At 36.1% G+C, this 19933-nt stretch overlaps 1 protein-coding gene across 25 annotated transcripts in view, besides 2 other annotated features; it reads right to left on the reverse strand.

Annotated features, from left to right (window-relative positions):
- Window positions 1–19933, reverse strand: part of IMMP2L (inner mitochondrial membrane peptidase subunit 2) — an 899849-nt gene that overhangs the window by 779716 nt on the left and 100200 nt on the right. The window lies entirely within an intron of this gene.
- Window positions 2978–3609: an enhancer, noted in NCBI's record as "H3K27ac-H3K4me1 hESC enhancer chr7:111085393-111086024 (GRCh37/hg19 assembly coordinates)". NCBI's record gives its function as "activates a minimal SCP1, AML or CMV promoter by ChIP-STARR-seq in primed H9 embryonic stem cells {active_cell/tissue: H9 hESC(primed)}" and the evidence as "EXISTENCE:reporter gene assay evidence [ECO:0000049][PMID:30033119]".
- Window positions 3610–4240: an enhancer, noted in NCBI's record as "H3K27ac-H3K4me1 hESC enhancer chr7:111086025-111086655 (GRCh37/hg19 assembly coordinates)". NCBI's record gives its function as "activates a minimal SCP1, AML or CMV promoter by ChIP-STARR-seq in primed H9 embryonic stem cells {active_cell/tissue: H9 hESC(primed)}" and the evidence as "EXISTENCE:reporter gene assay evidence [ECO:0000049][PMID:30033119]".

Consider the following 19933-nt stretch of genomic DNA (forward strand, 5'->3'; position numbering starts at 1 on the left):
TTTGCCATTTCAATCATTGGAAGTAGCTATAGAGACATGTACTTGAGAACTTCATCATTTACAGTTGAATGATTTTCTAGACCTTCCAAATACTGGATTTTACCCCTTTCATGACCCTTTGCTCCCTATATAAACTTTCATCAATGCCAGAATATTGAATGAAATCACCCTGAAATCAGCCATCATATCAAAGATGGCTACAAGATACATCTCAAACCTTCAGAAAATGGTCTGTGCTAATGAGAAGGCCGAAGTGTCAACCGCAATATGTCTGTATAGGTACCTCAAATGTGACAACAACTAACAAAAAAAACACTCTGGTACAAATAAACTAGTACTGGATGCAGCTAATAAAGCACATGATACTATAATGTTAAATACATACACTAATAGAATTTTCTACAATTCTCTGTTACGAGGTCCTTTGTAAATCACAGGAGAGTAAGTGGTTTTAAGATTAAATTTGCCCATATAGTTAATTGCCACTTCACAGCAAGTACTGTGAATAAAAAATCCAAATTGAGCTGGTTTGGACCTAGTTACAAATACCATTTAAACAGAACAGAAAAAAAGCCTCTATGTTGACAGGGATAACACCAAAGTGGAACACAGGCCTCATACAACCATCTAGAATCTCTCAGTTTCACCTTCGCTTCAGACATACTGAGGATTTTTCATTTGAGTTTTTCTTTCCAGAGCATGTATCACAAACTTCAAAGATAAATTAGTAAAAATACACACACATAATAGCATAGGTTGATTTTATGTTTTTTAAGATGAAGGTTTTAAGGTTATCTCATTCAATCCCCTTCATTTTAAAAATGAGAAAATAAAGCTCCAAAAAGGTAATTCACACATGGCTACATGATATATCAGAGACAATAATTTCTCTGTTAATTACTTATACCTCTGTTCAATACAGTAATCCAAATTTTCAAATGCAATAAGTTATTTTACAAGCCTATCAAAGGAACTTGCTACTTTAAAGACAACTGGAGTACTACGACCACTGTCTTAAGAGAAGGAAAACTGAGTGGGCTGGTTAAGGATGCAGAGGAGGATAAAATCACAGTCACTCTTTGACCCAAAATCAACTTAATTTCCAGAATGCCTAGTAAGCTTGAAGCAGCTTGGTGCAGCTAAGCACAAAGAGCTCAAACATTTATCAAGTCTCCTCTGAAGAGTTCTAAATATGGGGACATCCTAGTGTGCTGCTTTACATTTCTTCCCAGTCCAGACTGCACAGAACAGAACTCTCCTCAAAATATCCCAGAAGGACTTCAGAATCCATTTTTTCAAATGTTTTGACACAACACTGAAAAGGTGCAATTATTAAAATATCGGAAACTATTATATTAATTCAAATATGTTCAGCTACCACTCATTCTTCTTCCTATTTTTAAATGTGGGGATCACTAAGTATCTTTAAACTTAGTGTATTTTCAATTTTTTTTCTCTACAGCCACAGTGAAAGGGGTGGAAAGTTAAAAAAGAAGGAATTTGATTTTTTATCTATTAGAAGGAAGGAAAAGTTTAGGTGGCATTATTATATGTGAAAACTGAACTGTAAAGCATACAGTATGTGCATCTTCACAGGGTATATAATTTCAAAAGGTGAAAAATGTTTAAATAGATTTTAAAATTATTTCTCTGCAAATATCACAAAATATTAAAAGTATAGGCTTGCTATGAAAGTATCTTTAAATGTTGTGTTTCTATTTTTAAAAAATCACTTTGTCACTTGAGAGAAATAAGGTTGTTACTTTTTTTCTATTTTCCCCATTCTCATATCCTTCATGTTTTTCTTCATTAATTACATTGTCCTTTTTCTGAGGGTTTAAAATATTGTGCATATTCATGTATCCGCTGATACATATATTTATGGTCTAGCTCAGCTAATGCATTGGTGAATATGTTCACATAGATGTATATGTATATGCACACACATGCACATAACAAGAAAGATGGCACAGTGGCTAAGGCTCTTTCTAGAGTAAGACTGCTTGGTTCAAATTCTGCTTCCACCACTTACAAGCTTGGACAAGTTTCTTAACCTCTCAGTGCCATAATTTTCTTATCTATAAAATGGGGATAATAACAGTAAGTGCCTCTAGGGGTACAAATAGGACTAAATAAAGATTTAATATTTATAGTGATTATAACAGCGTCTAGCATTGTTAAGTGCCTGCAAATAAGTGTTGAATTTTTTTAAATTATTTTTTACTTTTCTTCATTCTCCTTCTCTTCATTTTCCTCATCGCTTCTACTGCTACATCTTTATCAAGTATTTAACCATCAAATCCAGCCATACAGACAAAATTTATATACTTCCTACACTCAGAAAATAAACAACAGGACACTGTTAACCCTGATGATAATGAATATACCTAAAACAAAGAAGTAAGAGAGCAAAAATGATAAGCAAGAACAGAAACTATATGGCATAATGCAGTGGTCTTCAAATTGGAGTAGATATGCCCCTCTAATTACAGTAGGAAGGTCTGTCCCTTCCTACTGTCCTTCAGCATAATATCTATTGGAGACATTACATTATTCAGTGATACATGAAATACTTTAGACTTACGTTTTTCTTGTAACAGTTATATATTAATCAAGATGCAGGTTTATAGTCTAATGTTGAGCCTTAGAAGATTTTTCTAAGAAACAGCTAGGCATATAAATATATTTAAGGAAATCAATTGCTAGATCTAAACGTCCATAAAAATTTTTCCTAAAAATGACCTATGTGAGAAAGTGCCTCTCAAGTATGATATCCTTTCCCATCTCTCTTCTCACAATTATCCTTCTCTAGATTTATAGGGAAAAAAAAGTCGTGCTCTTACACATCCCCAAGAACACTGCAGGACATTGTTTTGGGCAGACAAACTGTGGGGAGCCAAAAAAAAATGAAATCTCATATATTTTTCCACTACAGGTGCTCTCAGCTTAAGTGAGGACCAGCTCCCCAAGTCAGAAAACATCTTACCATCTTTACTCCTTCCTAGCAATTTATTCCCCCTTTCCTAGAAGAATGAAAAAAAAATAGACACAAACATACATACATACATACATACATACATAAGTTTAAACTGGTTTGGCCTTCAAAGGAACAAAATCATACAAGATCATGATGAATAATAAAGAAGTATAAATGTGAAGACTGAGAATAACGAAACTTTAAAGGACTAATGGAGAATTAGAATTCAAGCACGTTCTCTAAGACATGGGCATTCTCAAATATATTCTAACGTTCTAGGTTTCAGATTACATGATCCCTTTTATGGAGTGCTAAAAGGGCGGAGATTGGGAAATGGGATTAATTAAAGAACAGGGAAGAGGAGGAGCCAAGATGGCCGAATAGGAACAGCTCCGGTCTACAGCTCCCAGCGTGAGTGACGCAGAAGACGGGTGATTTCTGCATTTCCATCTGAGGTACCGGGTTCATCTCACTAGGGAGTGCCAGACAGTGGGCGCAGGCCAGTGGGTGCGCGCACCGTGCGTGAGCCGAAGCAGGGCGAGGCATTGCCTCACCTGGGAAGCGCAAGGGGTCAGGGAGTTCCCTTTCCTAGTCAAAGAAAGGGGTGATGGACGCACCTGGAAAATCGGGTCACTCCCACCCGAATATTGCGCTTTTCAGACCGGCTTAAGAAACGGCGCACCACGAGACTGTATCCCACACCTGGCTCGGAGGGTCCTACGCCCACGGAATCTCGCTGATTGCTAGCACAGCAGTCTGAGATCAAACTGCAAGGCGGCAGCAAGGCTGGGGGAGGGGCGCCCGCCATTGCCCAGGCTTGCTTAGGTAAACAAAGCAGCCTGGAAGCTCAAACTGGGTGGAGCCCGCCACAGCTCAAGGAGGCCTGCCTGCCTCTGTAGGCTCCACCTCTGGGGGCAGGGCACAGACAAACAAAAAGACAGCAGTAACCTCTGCAGACTTAAATGTCCCTGTCTGACAGCTTTGAAGAGAGCAGTGGTTCTCCCAGCACACAGCTGGAGATCTGAGAACAGGCAGACTGCCTCCTCAAGTGGGTCCCTGACCCCTGACCCCCGAGCAGCCTAACTGGGAGGCAGCCCCCAGCAGGGGCACACTGACACCTCACACGGCAGGGTATTCCAACAGACCTGCAGCTGAGGGTCCTGTCTGTTAGAAGAAAAACTAACAAACAGAAAGGACATCCACACCGAAAACCCATCTGTACATCACCATCATCAAAGACCAAAAGTAGATAAAACCACAAAGATGGAGAAAAAACAGAACAGAAAAACTGGAAACTCTAAAACACAGAGCGCCTCTCCTCCTCCAAAGGAACGCAGTTCCTCACCAGCAACGGAACAAAACTGGATGGAGAATGATTTCGATGAGCTAAGAGAGGAACGCTTCAGACGATCAAATTACTCTGAGCTACGGGAGGACATTCAAAGCAAAGGCAAAGAAGTTGAAAACTTTGAAAAAAATTTAGAAGAATGTATAACTAGAATAACCAATACAGAGAAATGCTTAAAGGAGCTGATGGAGCTGAAAACCAAGGCTCGAGAACTACGTGAAGAATGCAGAAGCCTCAGGAGCCGATGCGATCAACTGGAAGAAAGGGTATCAGCAATGGAAGATGAAACGAATGAAATGAAGCGAGAAGGGAAGTTTAGAGAAAAAAGAATAAAAAGAAATGAGCAAAGCCTCCAAGAAATATGGGACTATGTGAAAAGACCAAATCTACGTCTGATTGGTGTACCTGAAAGTGATGCGGAGAATGGAACCAAGTTGGAAAACACTCTGCAGGATATTATCCAGGAGAACTTCCCCAATCTAGCAAGGCAGGCCGACGTTCAGATTCAGGAAATACAGAGAACGCCACAAAGATACTCCTCGAGAAGAGCAACTCCAAGACACATAATTGTCAGATTCACCAAAGTTGAAATGAAGGAAAAAATGTTAAGGGCAGCCAGAGAGAAAGGTCGGATTACCCTCAAAGGGAAGCCCATCAGACTAACAGCGGATCTCTCGACAGAAACCCTACAAGCCAGAAGAGAGTGGGGGCCAATATTCAACATTCTTAAAGAAAAGAATTTTCAACTCAGAATTTCATATCCAGCCAAACTAAGCTTCATAAGTGAAGGAGAAATAAAATACTTTACAGACAAGCAAATGCTGAGAGATTTTGTCACCACCAGGCCTGCCCTAAAAGAGCTCCTGAAGGAAGCGCTAAACATGGAAAGGAACAACCGGTACCAGCCGCTGCAAAATCATGCCAAAATGTAAAGACCATCGAGACTAGGAAGAAACTGCATCAACTAAGGAACGAAATCACCAGCTAACATCATAATGACAGGATCAAATTCACACATAACAATATTAACTTTAAATGTAAATGGACTAAATTCTCCAATTAAAAGACACAGACTGGCAAGTTGGATAAAGAGTCAAGACCCATCAGTGTGCTGCATTCAGGAAACCCATCTCACGTGCAGAGACACACATAGGCTCAAAATAAAAGGATGGAAGAAGATCTACCAAGCAAATGGAAAACAAAAAAAGGCAGGGGTTGCAATCCTAGTCTCTGATAAAACAGACTTTAAACCAACAAAGATCAAAAGAGACAAAGAAGGCCATTACATAATGGTAAAGGGATCAATTCAACAAGAAGAGCTAACTATCCTAAATATATATGCACCCAATACAGGAGCACCCAGATTCATAAAGCAAGTCGTGAGTGACCTACAAAGAGACTTAGACTCCCACACATTAATAATGGGAGACTTTAACACCCCACTGTCAACATTAGACAGATGAACGAGACAGAAAGTCAACAAGGATACCCAGGAATTGAACTCAGCTCTGCACCAAGCGGACCTAATAGACATCTACAGAACTCTCCACCCCAAATCAACAGAATATACATTTTTTTCAGCACCACACCACACCTATTCCAAAATTGACCACATAGTTGGAAGTAAAGCTCTCCTCAGCAAATGTAAAAGAACAGAAATTATAACAAACTATCTCTCAGACCACAGTGCAATCAAACTAGAACTCAGGATTAAGAACCTCACTAAAAGCCGCTCAACTACATGGAAACTGAACAACCTGCTCCTGAATGACTACTGGGTACATAACGAAATGAAGGCAGAAATAAAGATGTTCTTTGAAACCAACGAGAACAAAGACACAACATACCAGAATCTCTGGGACACATTCAAAGCAGTGTGTAGAGGGAAATTTATAGCACTAAATGCCCACAAGAGAAAGCAGGAAAGATCCAAAATTGACACCCTAACATCACAATTAAAAGAACTAGAAAAGCAAGAGCAAACACATTCAAAAGCTAGCAGAAGGCAAGAAATAACTAAAATCAGAGCAGAACTCAAGGAAATAGAGACACAAAAAACCCTTCAAAAAATCAATGAATCCAGGAGCTGGTTTTTTGAAAGGATCAACAAAATTGATAGACCGCTAGCAAGACTAATAAAGAAAAAAAGAGAGAAGAATCAAATAGACACAATAAAAAATGATAAAGGGGATATCACCACCGATCCCACAGAAATACAAACTACCATCAGAGAATACTACAGACACCTCTACGCAAATAAACTAGAAAATCTAGAAGAAATGGATACATTCCTCGACACATACACTCTCCCAAGACTAAACCAGGAAGAAGTTGAATCTCTGAATAGACCAATAACAGGAGCTAAAATTGTGGCAATAATCAATAGTTTACCAACCAAAAAGAGTCCAGGACCAGATGGATTCACAGCCGAATTCTACCAGAGGTACAAGGAGGAACTGGTACCATTCCTTCTGAAACTATCCCAATCAATAGAAAAAGAGGGAATCCTCCCTAACTCATTTTATGAGGCCAGCATCATTCTGATACCAAAGCCGGGCAGAGACACAACAAAAAAAGAGAATTTTAGACCAATATCCTTGATGAACATTGATGCAAAAATCCTCAATAAAATACTGGCAAACCGAATTCAGCAGCACATCAAAAAGCTTATCCACCATGATCAAGTGGGCTTCATCCCTGGGATGCAAGGCTGGTTCAATATACGCAAATCAATAAATGTAATCCAGCATATAAACAGAGCCAAAGACAAAAACCACATGATTATCTCAATAGATGCAGAAAAAGCCTTTGACAAAATTCAACAACCCTTCATGCTAAAAACTCTCAATAAATTAGGTATTGATGGGACGTATTTCAAAATAATAAGAGCTATCTATGACAAACCCACAGCCAATATCATACTGAATGGGCAAAAACTGGAAGCATTCCCTTTGAAAACTGGCACAACACAGGGATGCCCTCTCTCACCACTCCTATTCAACATAGTGTTGGAAGTTCTGGCCAGGGCAATCAGGCAGGAGAAGGAAATAAAGGGTATTCAATTAGGAAAAGAGGAAGTCAAATTGTCCCTGTTTGCAGACGACATGATTGTTTATCTAGAAAACCCCATCGTCTCAGCCCAAAATCTCCTTAAGCTGATAAGCAACTTCAGCAAAGTCTCAGGATACAAAATCAATGTACAAGAATCACAAGCATTCCTATACACCAACAACAGACAAACAGAGAGCCAAATCATGAGTGAACTCCCATTCACAATTGCTTCAAAGAGAATAAAATACCTAGGAATCCAACTTACAAGGGATGTGAAGCACCTCTTCAAGGAGAACTACAAACCACTGCTCAAGGAAATAAAGGAGGATACAAACAAATGGAAGAACATTCCATGCTCATGGGTAGGAAGAATCAATATTGTGAAAATGGCCATACTGCCCAAGGTAATTTACAGATTCAATGCCACCCCCATCAAGCTACCAATGACTTTCTTCACAGAATTGGAAAAAACTACTTTAAAGTTCATATGGAACCAAAAAAGAGCCCGCATCGCCAGGTCAATCCTAAGCCAAAAGAACAAAGCTGGAGGCATCACACTACATGACTTCAAACTATACTACAAGGCTACAGTAACCAAAACAGCATGGTACTGGTACCAAAACAGAGATATAGATCAATGGAACAGAACAGAGCCCTCAAATAACGCCGCATACCTACAACTATCTGATCTTTGACAAACCTGACAAAAACAAGCAATGGGGAAAGGATTCCCTATTTAATAAACGGTGCTGGGAAAACTGGCTAGCCATATGTAGAAAGCTGAAACTGGATCCCTTCCTTACACCTTATACAAAAATCAATTCAAGATGGATTAAAGATTTAAACGTTAGACCTAAAACCATAAAAACCCTAGAAGAAAACCTAGGCATTACCATTCAGGACATAGGCGTGGGCAAGGACTTCATGTCCAAAACACCAAAAGCAATGGCAACCAAAGCCAAAATTGACAAATGGGATCTAATTAAACTAAAGAGCTTCTGCACAGCAAAAGAAACTACCATCAGACTGAACAGGCAACCTACAACATGGGAGAAAATTTTCACAACCTACTCATCTGACAAAGGGCTAATATCCAGAATCTACAATGAACTCAAACAAATTTACAAGAAAAAAACAAACAACCCCATCAAAAAGTGGGCGAGGGACATGAACAGGCACTTCTCAAAAGAAGACATTTATGCAGCCAAAAAACACATGAAAAAATGCTCATCATCACTGGCCATCAGAGAAATGCAAATCAAAACCACCATGAGATATCATCTCACACCAGTTAGAATGGCGATCATTAAAAAGTCAGGAAACAACAGGTGCTGGAGAGGATGTGGAGAAATAGGAACACTTTTACACTGTTGGTGGGACTGTAAACTAGTTCAACCATTGTGGAAGTCAGTGTGGCGATTTCTCAGGGATCTAGAACTAGAAATACCATTTGACCCAGCCATCCCATTACTGGGTATATACCCCCAAATGACTATAAATCATGCTGCTATAAAGACACATGCACACGTATGTTTATTGCGGCATTATTCACAATAGCAAAGACTTGGAACCAACCCAAATGTCCAAGAATGATAGACTAGATTAAGAAAATGTGGCACATATACACCATGGAATACTATGCAGCCATAAAAAATGATGAGTTCATGTCCTTTGTAGGGACATGGATGAAATTGGAAACCATCATTCTCAGTAAACTATCGCAAGAACAAAAAACCAAACACTGCATATTCTCACTCATAGGTGGGAATTGAACAATGAGATCACATGGACACAGGAAGGGGAATATCACACTCTGGGGACTGTGGTGGGGAGGGGGGAGGGGGGAGGGATAGCATTGGGAGATATACCTAATGCTAGATGACGAGTTAGGGGGTGCAGCGCACCAGCATGGCACATGTATACATATGTAACTAACCTGCACAATGTGCACATGTACCCTAAAACTTAAAGTATAATTAAAAAAAAAAAAAAAGAACAGGGAAGAACAAGAGAATAAAGGAAAAAAGCAGAGAGAAGGCAAGGCAAAATGATTTATTAGGAAAGGAAGAAACCCTTTCAAACAAAGAAATCCTACGTTTTCTCTCGATATATCACTAGAAGCATATGCAAGAAATCAATATATACTTTTTTAAAAGAAAGGATTAAGTAGAAGATAAGAGAAGATACACAGGTCATAGGGAATAAAAAATTAATAGTGCCTTTCCACACAGACTTGAAACAATTCTGGTCACTGAAGGGCAGTAAGGCTGGGGAAGGTATCTCCCTTCCTACTGTCCTTCAGTGTAGTATCTATTGGAGACATTACATTATTCAGTGATACATGAAATACTTTAGACTTATGTTTTTCTAGTAACAGTTACATATTAATCAAGATGCAGGTTTATAGTCTAATTTTGAGCCTTACTTTAGTTTTTATCAGCAACAATCTTGTATAATCTACCATGACTATACATATGCATCAGGTTTAGTAAAGCAATTTATGATACAGTCTCCATATGTGAAATTGAAAGCCAGAAGCTAACTATTATTTTAACAAGCTGTCAAGATATATAGAGTTTTGCCAAAGAAACATTGATTACACTGGTCTTTTGAAAAGTAGATAAAACTTAGAATTCCCTAAGCAAACCATAGTTACACAAAATTGTCCTGAGATTCCTATGAAGCACATGACTCAAATGCTACCAAAATCCTTCATAAGTAAGATTTATTTCCAATAAATTATATATCTCTGTTTTAGAACTCTGATAATTTGCAGCCCATTTTCCAGTAACATGTTTTTATCATTTTCTACTGCTGAATAAAAAAGAAATTAAAGGACAAAGAGAAGATCATGAGTGAACTATCCAAATTTTATTACAATCTTGAAAAATACACATCCGTTGACTTCCTGTTCCTCTGCCACTAAATCTCTGTGGGGAGGTCCAACTTCCAATTCTCTGAAGTCGCAAGGTAGAGGAAATAAAACTAAGGAGCAGGTTGCTATAGCTCTCCAATTCAAAAGCAAATTATTACTCTATTTAATACAGCAATCTACTATAATCTCCTCCAACACTCCTGATCCTCTTTACAGTACTCTTTTCTATAGTACTTATCTCCTAACAAAAAAATGTACATATTTACTATACCTATTATGTCACTTGTTGCTAGAAAGTAAGCTTCAAAAGGGCAGGGATCTACATCATTTTGTTCACTGGCCAATCTCAAATACCTAGAACAGTGTCTGACACATAGTAGGAGCTCTACTGAATAAATAAACTATTACTTTACCAGTATCAAACTCCCCACCTGAGGTAGCACTACCTAAACTACATGTTGTTCCGATTCTAATTGCATGTGATTTTTCTAATCTTCGTGTCATTATCATAGATAAGTGTCCATTGCTACAACTGGAAGTAATCTGTGCACACTGCAGCCTTCATTGAAACCCAGATAATACTTCTGTTCGTAGCTGACCTCATTTTTATGGCATCCCACTGTATAGCTTGCTTCTTCACTCTTATTTAGGCAGTGTCTTCGCAGTTTCCTGCCTTGAATACCTCTTGTATACATTTACCACCTTAATTATTTGCTGTGTACATTTTCCTTGATGCCTTCTCCCCACTATGACAGCAGATTCCCTCTTCTGATTTTCCACTGATCAGCACGGCCCTTCAAAAACCTTCACAAAAGCCCGTTAGAAACAGATTGAGAGACGCATTTGTGAAGCTATTTAACAAATTTAAGTGTCATTTTTAAAGTATTCATTGTAAATTGGAGCATTGTTTCATATCGGTATCATTGGAGCATTGTTTGATATCGGTAACTTGCTTTAAACTGATTAAGCACATGTAAAGATACATGCTACCAATAGAAGAGGATGAAACCGAGAGATCATCTTTATGGTTAATAGGGAGTCAGTGACAGGAAAGTAAAAAGACTGAAGGATGATTTTGGGAAGTCCAGGTAATTGTCTGGTTATCCCTCACCAATGTCTTGATCCAACCCAAGAATCACTCTAACACGGCAAAACTCAATCCTTCCTGTTATTTTATTTGTGGCAAGAGAAAGATCCCTAAAATAAAATGCATTTATAAAATGATTGCCTTATAATAAGCACTCAATAAATATTTGCTGAATAAGTTAATGGATCAATGAGTATTTCCCTATGGTTTGGGAAGTTTAGCCAAATTAAATACCAGACTTTCAAATGTAAAGGGTTACGTCTCAAAAATATACCTCACCCAGCTGATACACATAACACTTAAATAACTGTATCTGCATGCTCAGTAAGAACTTCATGCATTCATATATTTAATACATCATCAAAGCATTGTGAGACAACTTTCTAACAGTGAATTGAAACCATATAAAAAACTTTGGACTTTTTGAGGGTTTTTGGTTTTTGTTTTTTATTAGAGATGGGGTCTTGCTTTGTCAGCTAGGCTGGAGTGCAGTGATGCGATCGCAACTAACTGAAGCCTCAACTTGAAGGTCTCAAGTAATCCTCCATCTCTGCCTCCAGAATAGCTGGGACCACAGGTGCAGGCCACCACACGTGGCTCATCAAGTGACAACTTATTCTCAGTCAAAATTCATGGGTAAAAATAAAGTTAAAATTTTTTATTTTAATTTTGAAAAAGTATATATTTTGTGATCATAGCTTTGATTCTGCTCTCCATCAAATACATTTAATTTTCCATTTCTCCATATTTAAGCGATTAACCCCATTAAAAAATGGGAAACTATTCATTCTCAACTCACTAAAGGAAGTATAAAAGGAATTAAATACAAAGACCCACTCAAATATAGCTAATTTCATTAATATTTCCTGTGTATCATTTCAAAAAAAATTACTAAAAAATATTCCTAAGATTCTTCTTATAATTTTTATAGTTTCATTATTAAGAATTATTGAGATAATTTATTTTAATTAGATGGGCTTTTATAAAGTATATAATCAATAAGTGTTTGTAGATCCCTTAGTTTTAAAGCTTTTTTTTAAGTTTCTCTTTACCCAAAAATATAATCTGGATTAAATTCAATTTACTGACCCAAAGATATAAATGAGAAATTCAAAACCATTAACACTCTAACACAGCTAGATGGAATGATGAATGATTAAGGGAGAAACCATAAGAAAACATCAGGTAATCATCTTTCTAGCATGGTCTGAATGAAATCCTTCCCATGAAATTAAAATTTGATACAAAGTCTATCAGGAAAACTTCTAAACTTTAAGATTTGTCAGGAAAATTGTGAAACACTGAAATATGCAAAATATTAGTGGATGTCCTATCTAGTATACCCTTCCAGATTATCTGAGTCAGTCAGAATATGAGCCTCACATTGTCTTTCTGCTACTTTACAACCATGCAGTTGTAAGACACAGAATAATACAAACAATTCTTTTCCATAAAAATGCAAATAAATTGTGTCCAGTGAAATGAAATGGATAATTGGCCTGTGGCTATTAACCAGTTTTGCGTCTGTTTCACATTCATTTCAGCATCCTTGATTGCCCATATATGTGTGCTCTTAAAATTCTCCTTTGAATTATTTGTAACATCTTACTGATCCCCTCATTAATTAATGAGCTTAATAAAGTCTTTGATACCCATTCTTTTTACATTTGAATAAAAGACATGATTTTAACCTTTCTTTAAAAGTATCCCTTGACAGAATCTATCACTAAAAGTATGACTTTTGATCCACCTTCCATAAACAGGCTTTCTTAAAATTTCCATTAAGTCATAAGTCATCCCATTCAAATTACTCAAAATAAAATACTGCAGCATCAATATTTTGAATCCAAATATGAATGAATCCAAAGCACCATCATTATATGATATAAGTTTACTATTTATATATCCCTAGAAGCAAAAAGGCTGCCAATTAAACTAAGACATAATGCTTTTTTATCAATTAGATTTCATTTTTTGGATATCTGTATCATATATTCCACTGTTCTGCCCCATGCCTCTCATGTAGATAGATGAGTATATATTACTTATCCTTCTAAGCCTAAATCATAGGATTTGGGAATCATCAGAATACCTGAAGTGCATATAACTCAATTAAACTTTGACATTATGACCACATTCACACATGCACAGATAACAACTCCATCAAAACCACCACCTACCCAACATGGATTTTGAGTCCATCAATTCAAAGAAGCATCCCAGTTTCAGGTATGTTCAAATATGAAAAAATAGACATCTTAGAATGCATAAAACACCACAAATATAAGTGCAAAAACATATAGCAGGATTATAAATGGCAAATAGCTTACAATCAGAAAACCTGTCACTAGAGGGTCATCATTTCCTTAAATAGTAACACTAGAATAATCCACACAGACTGCTAGAAATTTATGAATCTTAAAACTGATAGTCAAAATCTCAATGAAGCCAAATAACTCTTTAGGGCAAGAAAAGGTGAGATCCTTGACTGAACTAAGGTTATTCAATCTCTTGTTTACTAAAACAGTGGTAGGGGTGGTTTGGTCTCTAGCAGAAGGGCAAACAAGATGGTATCACATAATGGAGCTGGCTTAAAGCAAAATAATAAAAATGAAAAAACACTCATTCCTCTACTTCTAAGAAAATTATATTCTTCCTTTTTGATGTACTGCTGACATTCCTTTCCTCTCTTCAATCCTAGATTAGTTAACAGCTTGTAAAACTGCTGTTATTATAATGACAATCTCAATCAACTACATCATAAGGCTTTTTGCCTAAAGGATCATCTCTCCAAGTTGTAATCTCTTTGAAGACTAAGGAGACAAAAGTCTCTCTTGAACACTAAGGTCTTTTCCAAATTAAAAACAAAATATTCTAAATATTTATGAACGATATCAATCAGACTTCCTGCTAAATATTACTTCTTAGTTTTTAGCCTTTTGTAATATGTTATAAAAGTTTCCATTGTCTTTGTATTGTTGAAGGCTACAATATTGCCTAGCACATAGTAACAGCAAATAAATGTTGGTAAACTAGAAACTGACTCTCACAGTGGCCTTGATTCTCACAGTTAACCTAGAAGTAAGTACCGCAACAATGTTTATTCCCATTTCATATATAAAGAAACTGAAGGTTGGAGAATTTAGGGTTTTGCTCTAAAATCACAGTTAATAAGTGGCATTGTCAAAACTGAATCCCAGGCCCTTTGTCTCCAAGACCAGAGCAATTCTTACAGTAACAGACTGAACATCCCATGCCTAGATTTCCTTCCCTCTCTCTTCTCTTACCTACTACATGATACTTGACTCAGGATTCTGGTTTGCTGAATTACTGAAACCACATCAACAGTGAGTCAATGGTAATTCTCTACCTGGTTACATTTACATTTTAGCACAGATATTGTAAGATAAGGTGCAGCAGAGATTATTGGAAATACACATATTGACAGTCAGATAGCTCACTTCTAGTGGAACTAGAATATTTAATTTTCCTGTGTCTCAAGTCCTTTATCTGCAAAAGCAGGTGAAATGCAGATGATCAATAAGGTCTTTTCCTAACTAAAAACCTAACATTCTAAATATTTATCAATTATACAAAATCAGATCACCTGCTACATTTTACTTAATACTGGCCTTGAAAAAAAAAAGAAAACTATAAAAACCTGTCTGTTAGATTCTGCAGTGGGCCAAAAACAGAATATATAAACAAAAATTTAAATATATTCCAACCATACTACTTGACTAAGGACACTGTCTGTACCAATTTAAAACTAGAAGGTTTTAAGGATAAATGAGATCTATACAGGCACAATTGTCACAGCAGTCCTTCTAGGTATACAAGATACTGAAACATTTTACTGACCTATAACTTACTTTTTCATACATGGCAAAACTATATTTTTCTCATTACAAATGCCCTAGCTCTCCCCACAAAGTTATTGTGAAGTCTCCAAATATTGCTAATTTGTCCCTTAAAGCAAAAATATAAAACACTTTGTGACATATGAAAAATGTTCACCATGTCCTTTAGTTGCTTCAAGATATAGCATATAAATCTTTGAGTTTCTAAACAGAACCATACTATCTAGATATTTTTGTCTAAAAGATTTAAAGCTTAAATGTGCTACCTTTTTTTCTCTCTTGCAGCTTTCAAGTCACTTAGCCTGCTCCAGTCTCCAAGATATACATTATTTTTCCAATAAATCAATAAATAAAATTGGTATTTTTGACTACTTCTTAGTATAAATCTTGTCTTTGTATCAACAAATGTTCGAGTGCATTTTCATTGTATGACTAAATTTCTATTAAAAATGTAAATAATTTCTGCTTACTCTATCGAGTCTTTAATTAAAAGTGGTTTTTAAAGAGTCAAAAGACTTTGATCAATTTTTATAGAATGCACCAGGGCACGGTGGTTCACGCCTGTAATCCCAGCACTCTGGGAGGCTGAGGCAGGTGGGTCACTGGAGGTCAGGAGTTTGTGACTAGCCTGGGCAACATGGTGAAACCCCATCTCCACCAAAAAATACAATTTAGCTGGGCGTGATGGCGTGCGCCTGTACTCCCCAGCTACTCAGGAGGCTGAGGCAGGAGAATCACTTGAACTTGGGAGGCAGAGGTTGCAGTGAGCCAAGATCATGCCACTGCACTCCAGCTTGGGCATCAGAACAAGACACCATCTCAAGAAAAAAAAAAACTTATGGAATGCTATCATTCTGTCAAAAATAAACATAATATGCTTTCTGTTTTAACAAATGAATAACTTACCATTGTACCACCCTAAGTTACCAGGAAAACTACCCTAAATTACCAATAAAATTGTTCCTCCTATCTTTCTCCTCTGCCTCTGCTCTACTTCCCTTCAAAAAGTTCTTTACTCCACAATTTCCCCAAACAGAAAATTTTCCTGATTCTCCTATCCCTCTGTTCTTTCTGTCACTCTCTTCAAGATCCTTTTCCTCTTCTATCCCACCAGCATCCCCCTTTGATTCTCTGCCTATATTCTCCTTCATCTTGATTCACTCCTTCACAGCTCATCTGCTTCCACAAGATCAACTAACATTTCCATACTGATGAATCCCCAAAGAACATTTTTAGCCTTTATTTTTAACCAGTCTCTGATTCTGTATTTCCAGTTTCCTTCAGGATATGTCTCCTTGAATGACTGGATACACTATTAGAATTCAAAACTTCTAGTTTCTCTACATCCTCCTAATCTCCTTGTATATAAACTCAATACTTGGGGACATATAATTATCCTATGTAATCCTAACAATCTAAAATCTTCACCATTTGCTAGTCCTTACACCCAGAATGAACTATGTTATCTGCTTTATGTCACCACAGGATGCTAAAATGTTATTGAAAATAGCCACTAAAAAATGTAGCAAATGTTTCTAATACAAACTGATGAGTTCACAATATTCTATGAGTAAATATAATAGAGTTCCCTCTATTTTCCTACTAGACATCTGTTTCTGATTTTTCAATATTACAAAGAAAACTGTTATCTTATCATTATACATATTTTCATATTTAATAATATCTCCTTAGTGTAGCAGTCCAGAAGTGAAATTAATGGGGAAAAAAGATAAAAGAATTGTTAAGGTTCTTGATAAATACTGACAAGCTTATTTCCAAAACAATATTATCACAACGTTAGCTCCATGAGTGCAGGAATCTTGTCCCTTGTGCATATGATAGGCACTAGTAATACAACAATGATAAACAGTAAGCATTCAATAAATTTTATTTAAATAAACTAATCAATCAACCAATCAGATCTATGAAAGTACTTACAAATGATAAACAAACATTCCTTTATATCTTTATTATATCATTATACTATATTTACTTACTCCCCCTTTAAGAGTAAACATGTCACTGCTTTGAGCAATGAAATACAAGCAAAAGTGGTATGTGATACTTCTAGTCAAAAGTTTCAAGTGCCATTTATCATGTCCTTTCCCTCTGTCACAGCAACCTAAATGACAGGCAAAAGTTTCTGTTACTATTATATATCATCGATAATTTCTTATAGTAAAATATAGCTTTTCCCTTAAAACATATCCTTTTTACTGATCAGAAATTCACCGGGAACTCCCTCTTCAGTGCAGGGGGATCCTATGGTAGGAGGATTACAAGTGTGCACTGTCATTCCTAAGAAAGAATATGGAGCAATAAAGGAAATTGCTAAAGTCTGGAAAGCATTCTTGGCTTTCTGCTTTGAAATGAAGCTGACTTGGAAAATCAGAGAATTTGAATAAAGTTATCTTAGATTTCAATGAAAGAAAAATGCTTCATGGAGTAGCTCTTTGTATTACTGCACCTCTAGAGGCCCCAGAAGACAACTAAAAACCAGGCAATATGCTTTATTTTGAAATTCAGCTGTGTGGGCTGAGATGTCACCTTAGCATGAGGGTCAAAGGAGTACAGGGAGAGAGGGTAGCCAGAGCCTCAGTCACAAATTGTAACTCACACTTAAACTCATTTGAAATGCAATAAACAAACTAAACAGAATAAGCACACAACTACTTGGGCACTCGAATTGAGTTTTTTAAGAAATTTTAACTGTTATTATCTAAATGCTATTAGATAAGGAATATTTCTTTCACAAATACAGCTGAACACATTGATGTTTAAGAGTTTTAGTGCAAATTCCAAGAACTAAAAGAAAATAGAGGAAGACAAATTAGAAATGAGAAGCTAACTTAATGCCAACAAATTAACCTTTCAGAAAGTTAGAAAGAAAGAACAAAAGAGTCAGGCTATTTTATTATTGTTTTGTTTATACTTCATAAGCAAAGGTATTCGTGGGAGATTTTTTAATAAATGTTTTCCTTGTCTTTTTTTTTAAGTGGTTAAAGAAGAAAAGTTAACTAGGAGAAGATAGGAATGACAGCAGTTATTTGCAAATTTTTCCACAAGGAAAATCCTATCAAAATCCTTCTTTGATATTATTTGTCCTTATAATTTGTTCCCACAATTGCCAAAAAAAAAGATTACAGTCAGGTTGCATGATTATCTAAAGCCCAACATGATGTTCTATGTTTTTATCACAATTCAAGATTACTGCATTTTTCCTACCATAATATTAATTAATGGTCAATATAAAAATATGGACTATATTGAACCCCAGGCAAAAGGAAAAAATACACCCACAAAACTGTAAGACTATGACACTAGTAAATCATTATTCAGCATTTTAGTATAGTTCCTTCTCATATTTTTCCAAGCCATGTTTTTGCTTGCTTATTTGATTCTATATACATGCTTAACCATCTTATTCATTTATTTATTTAACAGCATAATCTTTTTCCATGTTACCATAAACTCTTCACAGGCTTCACTTTAGGTATGGTATTCCATCAAGTGTACATTCCACAATTTATATTTTGACTTAGTGCTGGATAGTTGCTTTCAATTTTTGTACCATTACAAATAATTCTGTTAGGAACTTATTAAACATAAGCCTTTCCAATATTTCAAATTCTTTTCCTAAAATACGTTCCTCACAACTGAATTACTATATATCAAAAACAATAATCAAAATTAAAAGCCAATATGGTATCTGGGATTTGGTACAAAATAATACAGATTGGGGAAGCAGATGGGAGTTCCAAGTGAAGCACATTTAATTTTTTTCAAAATAAAACATTCAAACAAAAAATTAAAAGCAAAAAAAATCATCCTGAAATACACACACACATACACGCACACGCACAGGAACACACATTCTAGCAAAGATGAAAGTATTTTTATGGCTCTTGCTACACATTGCCAAGTTGCTTCCCTAAAGAGTTGTAATCATTTTTATTCCCAATATATAGCTTAAGGTTTATAGTGAAGGCTTTTTTAACTCCTCTTTTCTTTGAAGTCTTTGTTTGTACATTGACTTTGGCATGTCTCTGCAACCTACTGCAAATTTTTCCTATTGAGATATGTTCCTGAGTTTTCACTTTATTCTGGAGACTGGAAATCGCTCTTATGATGCTCTTTGCTCATCATGCAAACTTGATTCCATGTAGAATAATAGTTGGATAACAGTACAATGATTTACCTACAGGAATGTTTTTCATATTGTTTACAAGGCAAAAATACATTTAACATAATGTTTAGTAAAAACTGGAAACAACTGTTTCTGTATCACTTGCAACGTCACAGCATTCCTTCAAAATGTATTTACTGTCATGGAAAAAAATAATTTGCCACTATAATGTTGAGTTTTTAAAAGTAGGCTATAAGATTGTTTGTATGAACAATTCCATTTTATATAGATCATACACACACACGTGCACAAACACAGAGATAAAAAAAACCTGGATGTGTATGTACTATAGTATCTTCTTGGGGAGTTGATAAGTGATTTTTACAAACATCTTTATACTTATTTATATATTTTTATTTTAATAATAAATATTCTAAATGTATAATTTTTAAATCATCAACCAAAGTAAGACTCAAAGTATAACCAGTAATTGTTTGAGCAACTTATTATGTACACATGTCAATTTCCAGCTTGCTTACATAAATAGTCTCCCAATTGGATACATCTTAGTGAATTTATAATCATTAAACAAAGTAATGAATAACATGA

Source organism: Homo sapiens, chromosome 7, assembly GCF_000001405.40.
Source record: "Homo sapiens chromosome 7, GRCh38.p14 Primary Assembly".
Taxonomy (NCBI): Eukaryota; Metazoa; Chordata; class Mammalia; order Primates; family Hominidae; genus Homo; species Homo sapiens.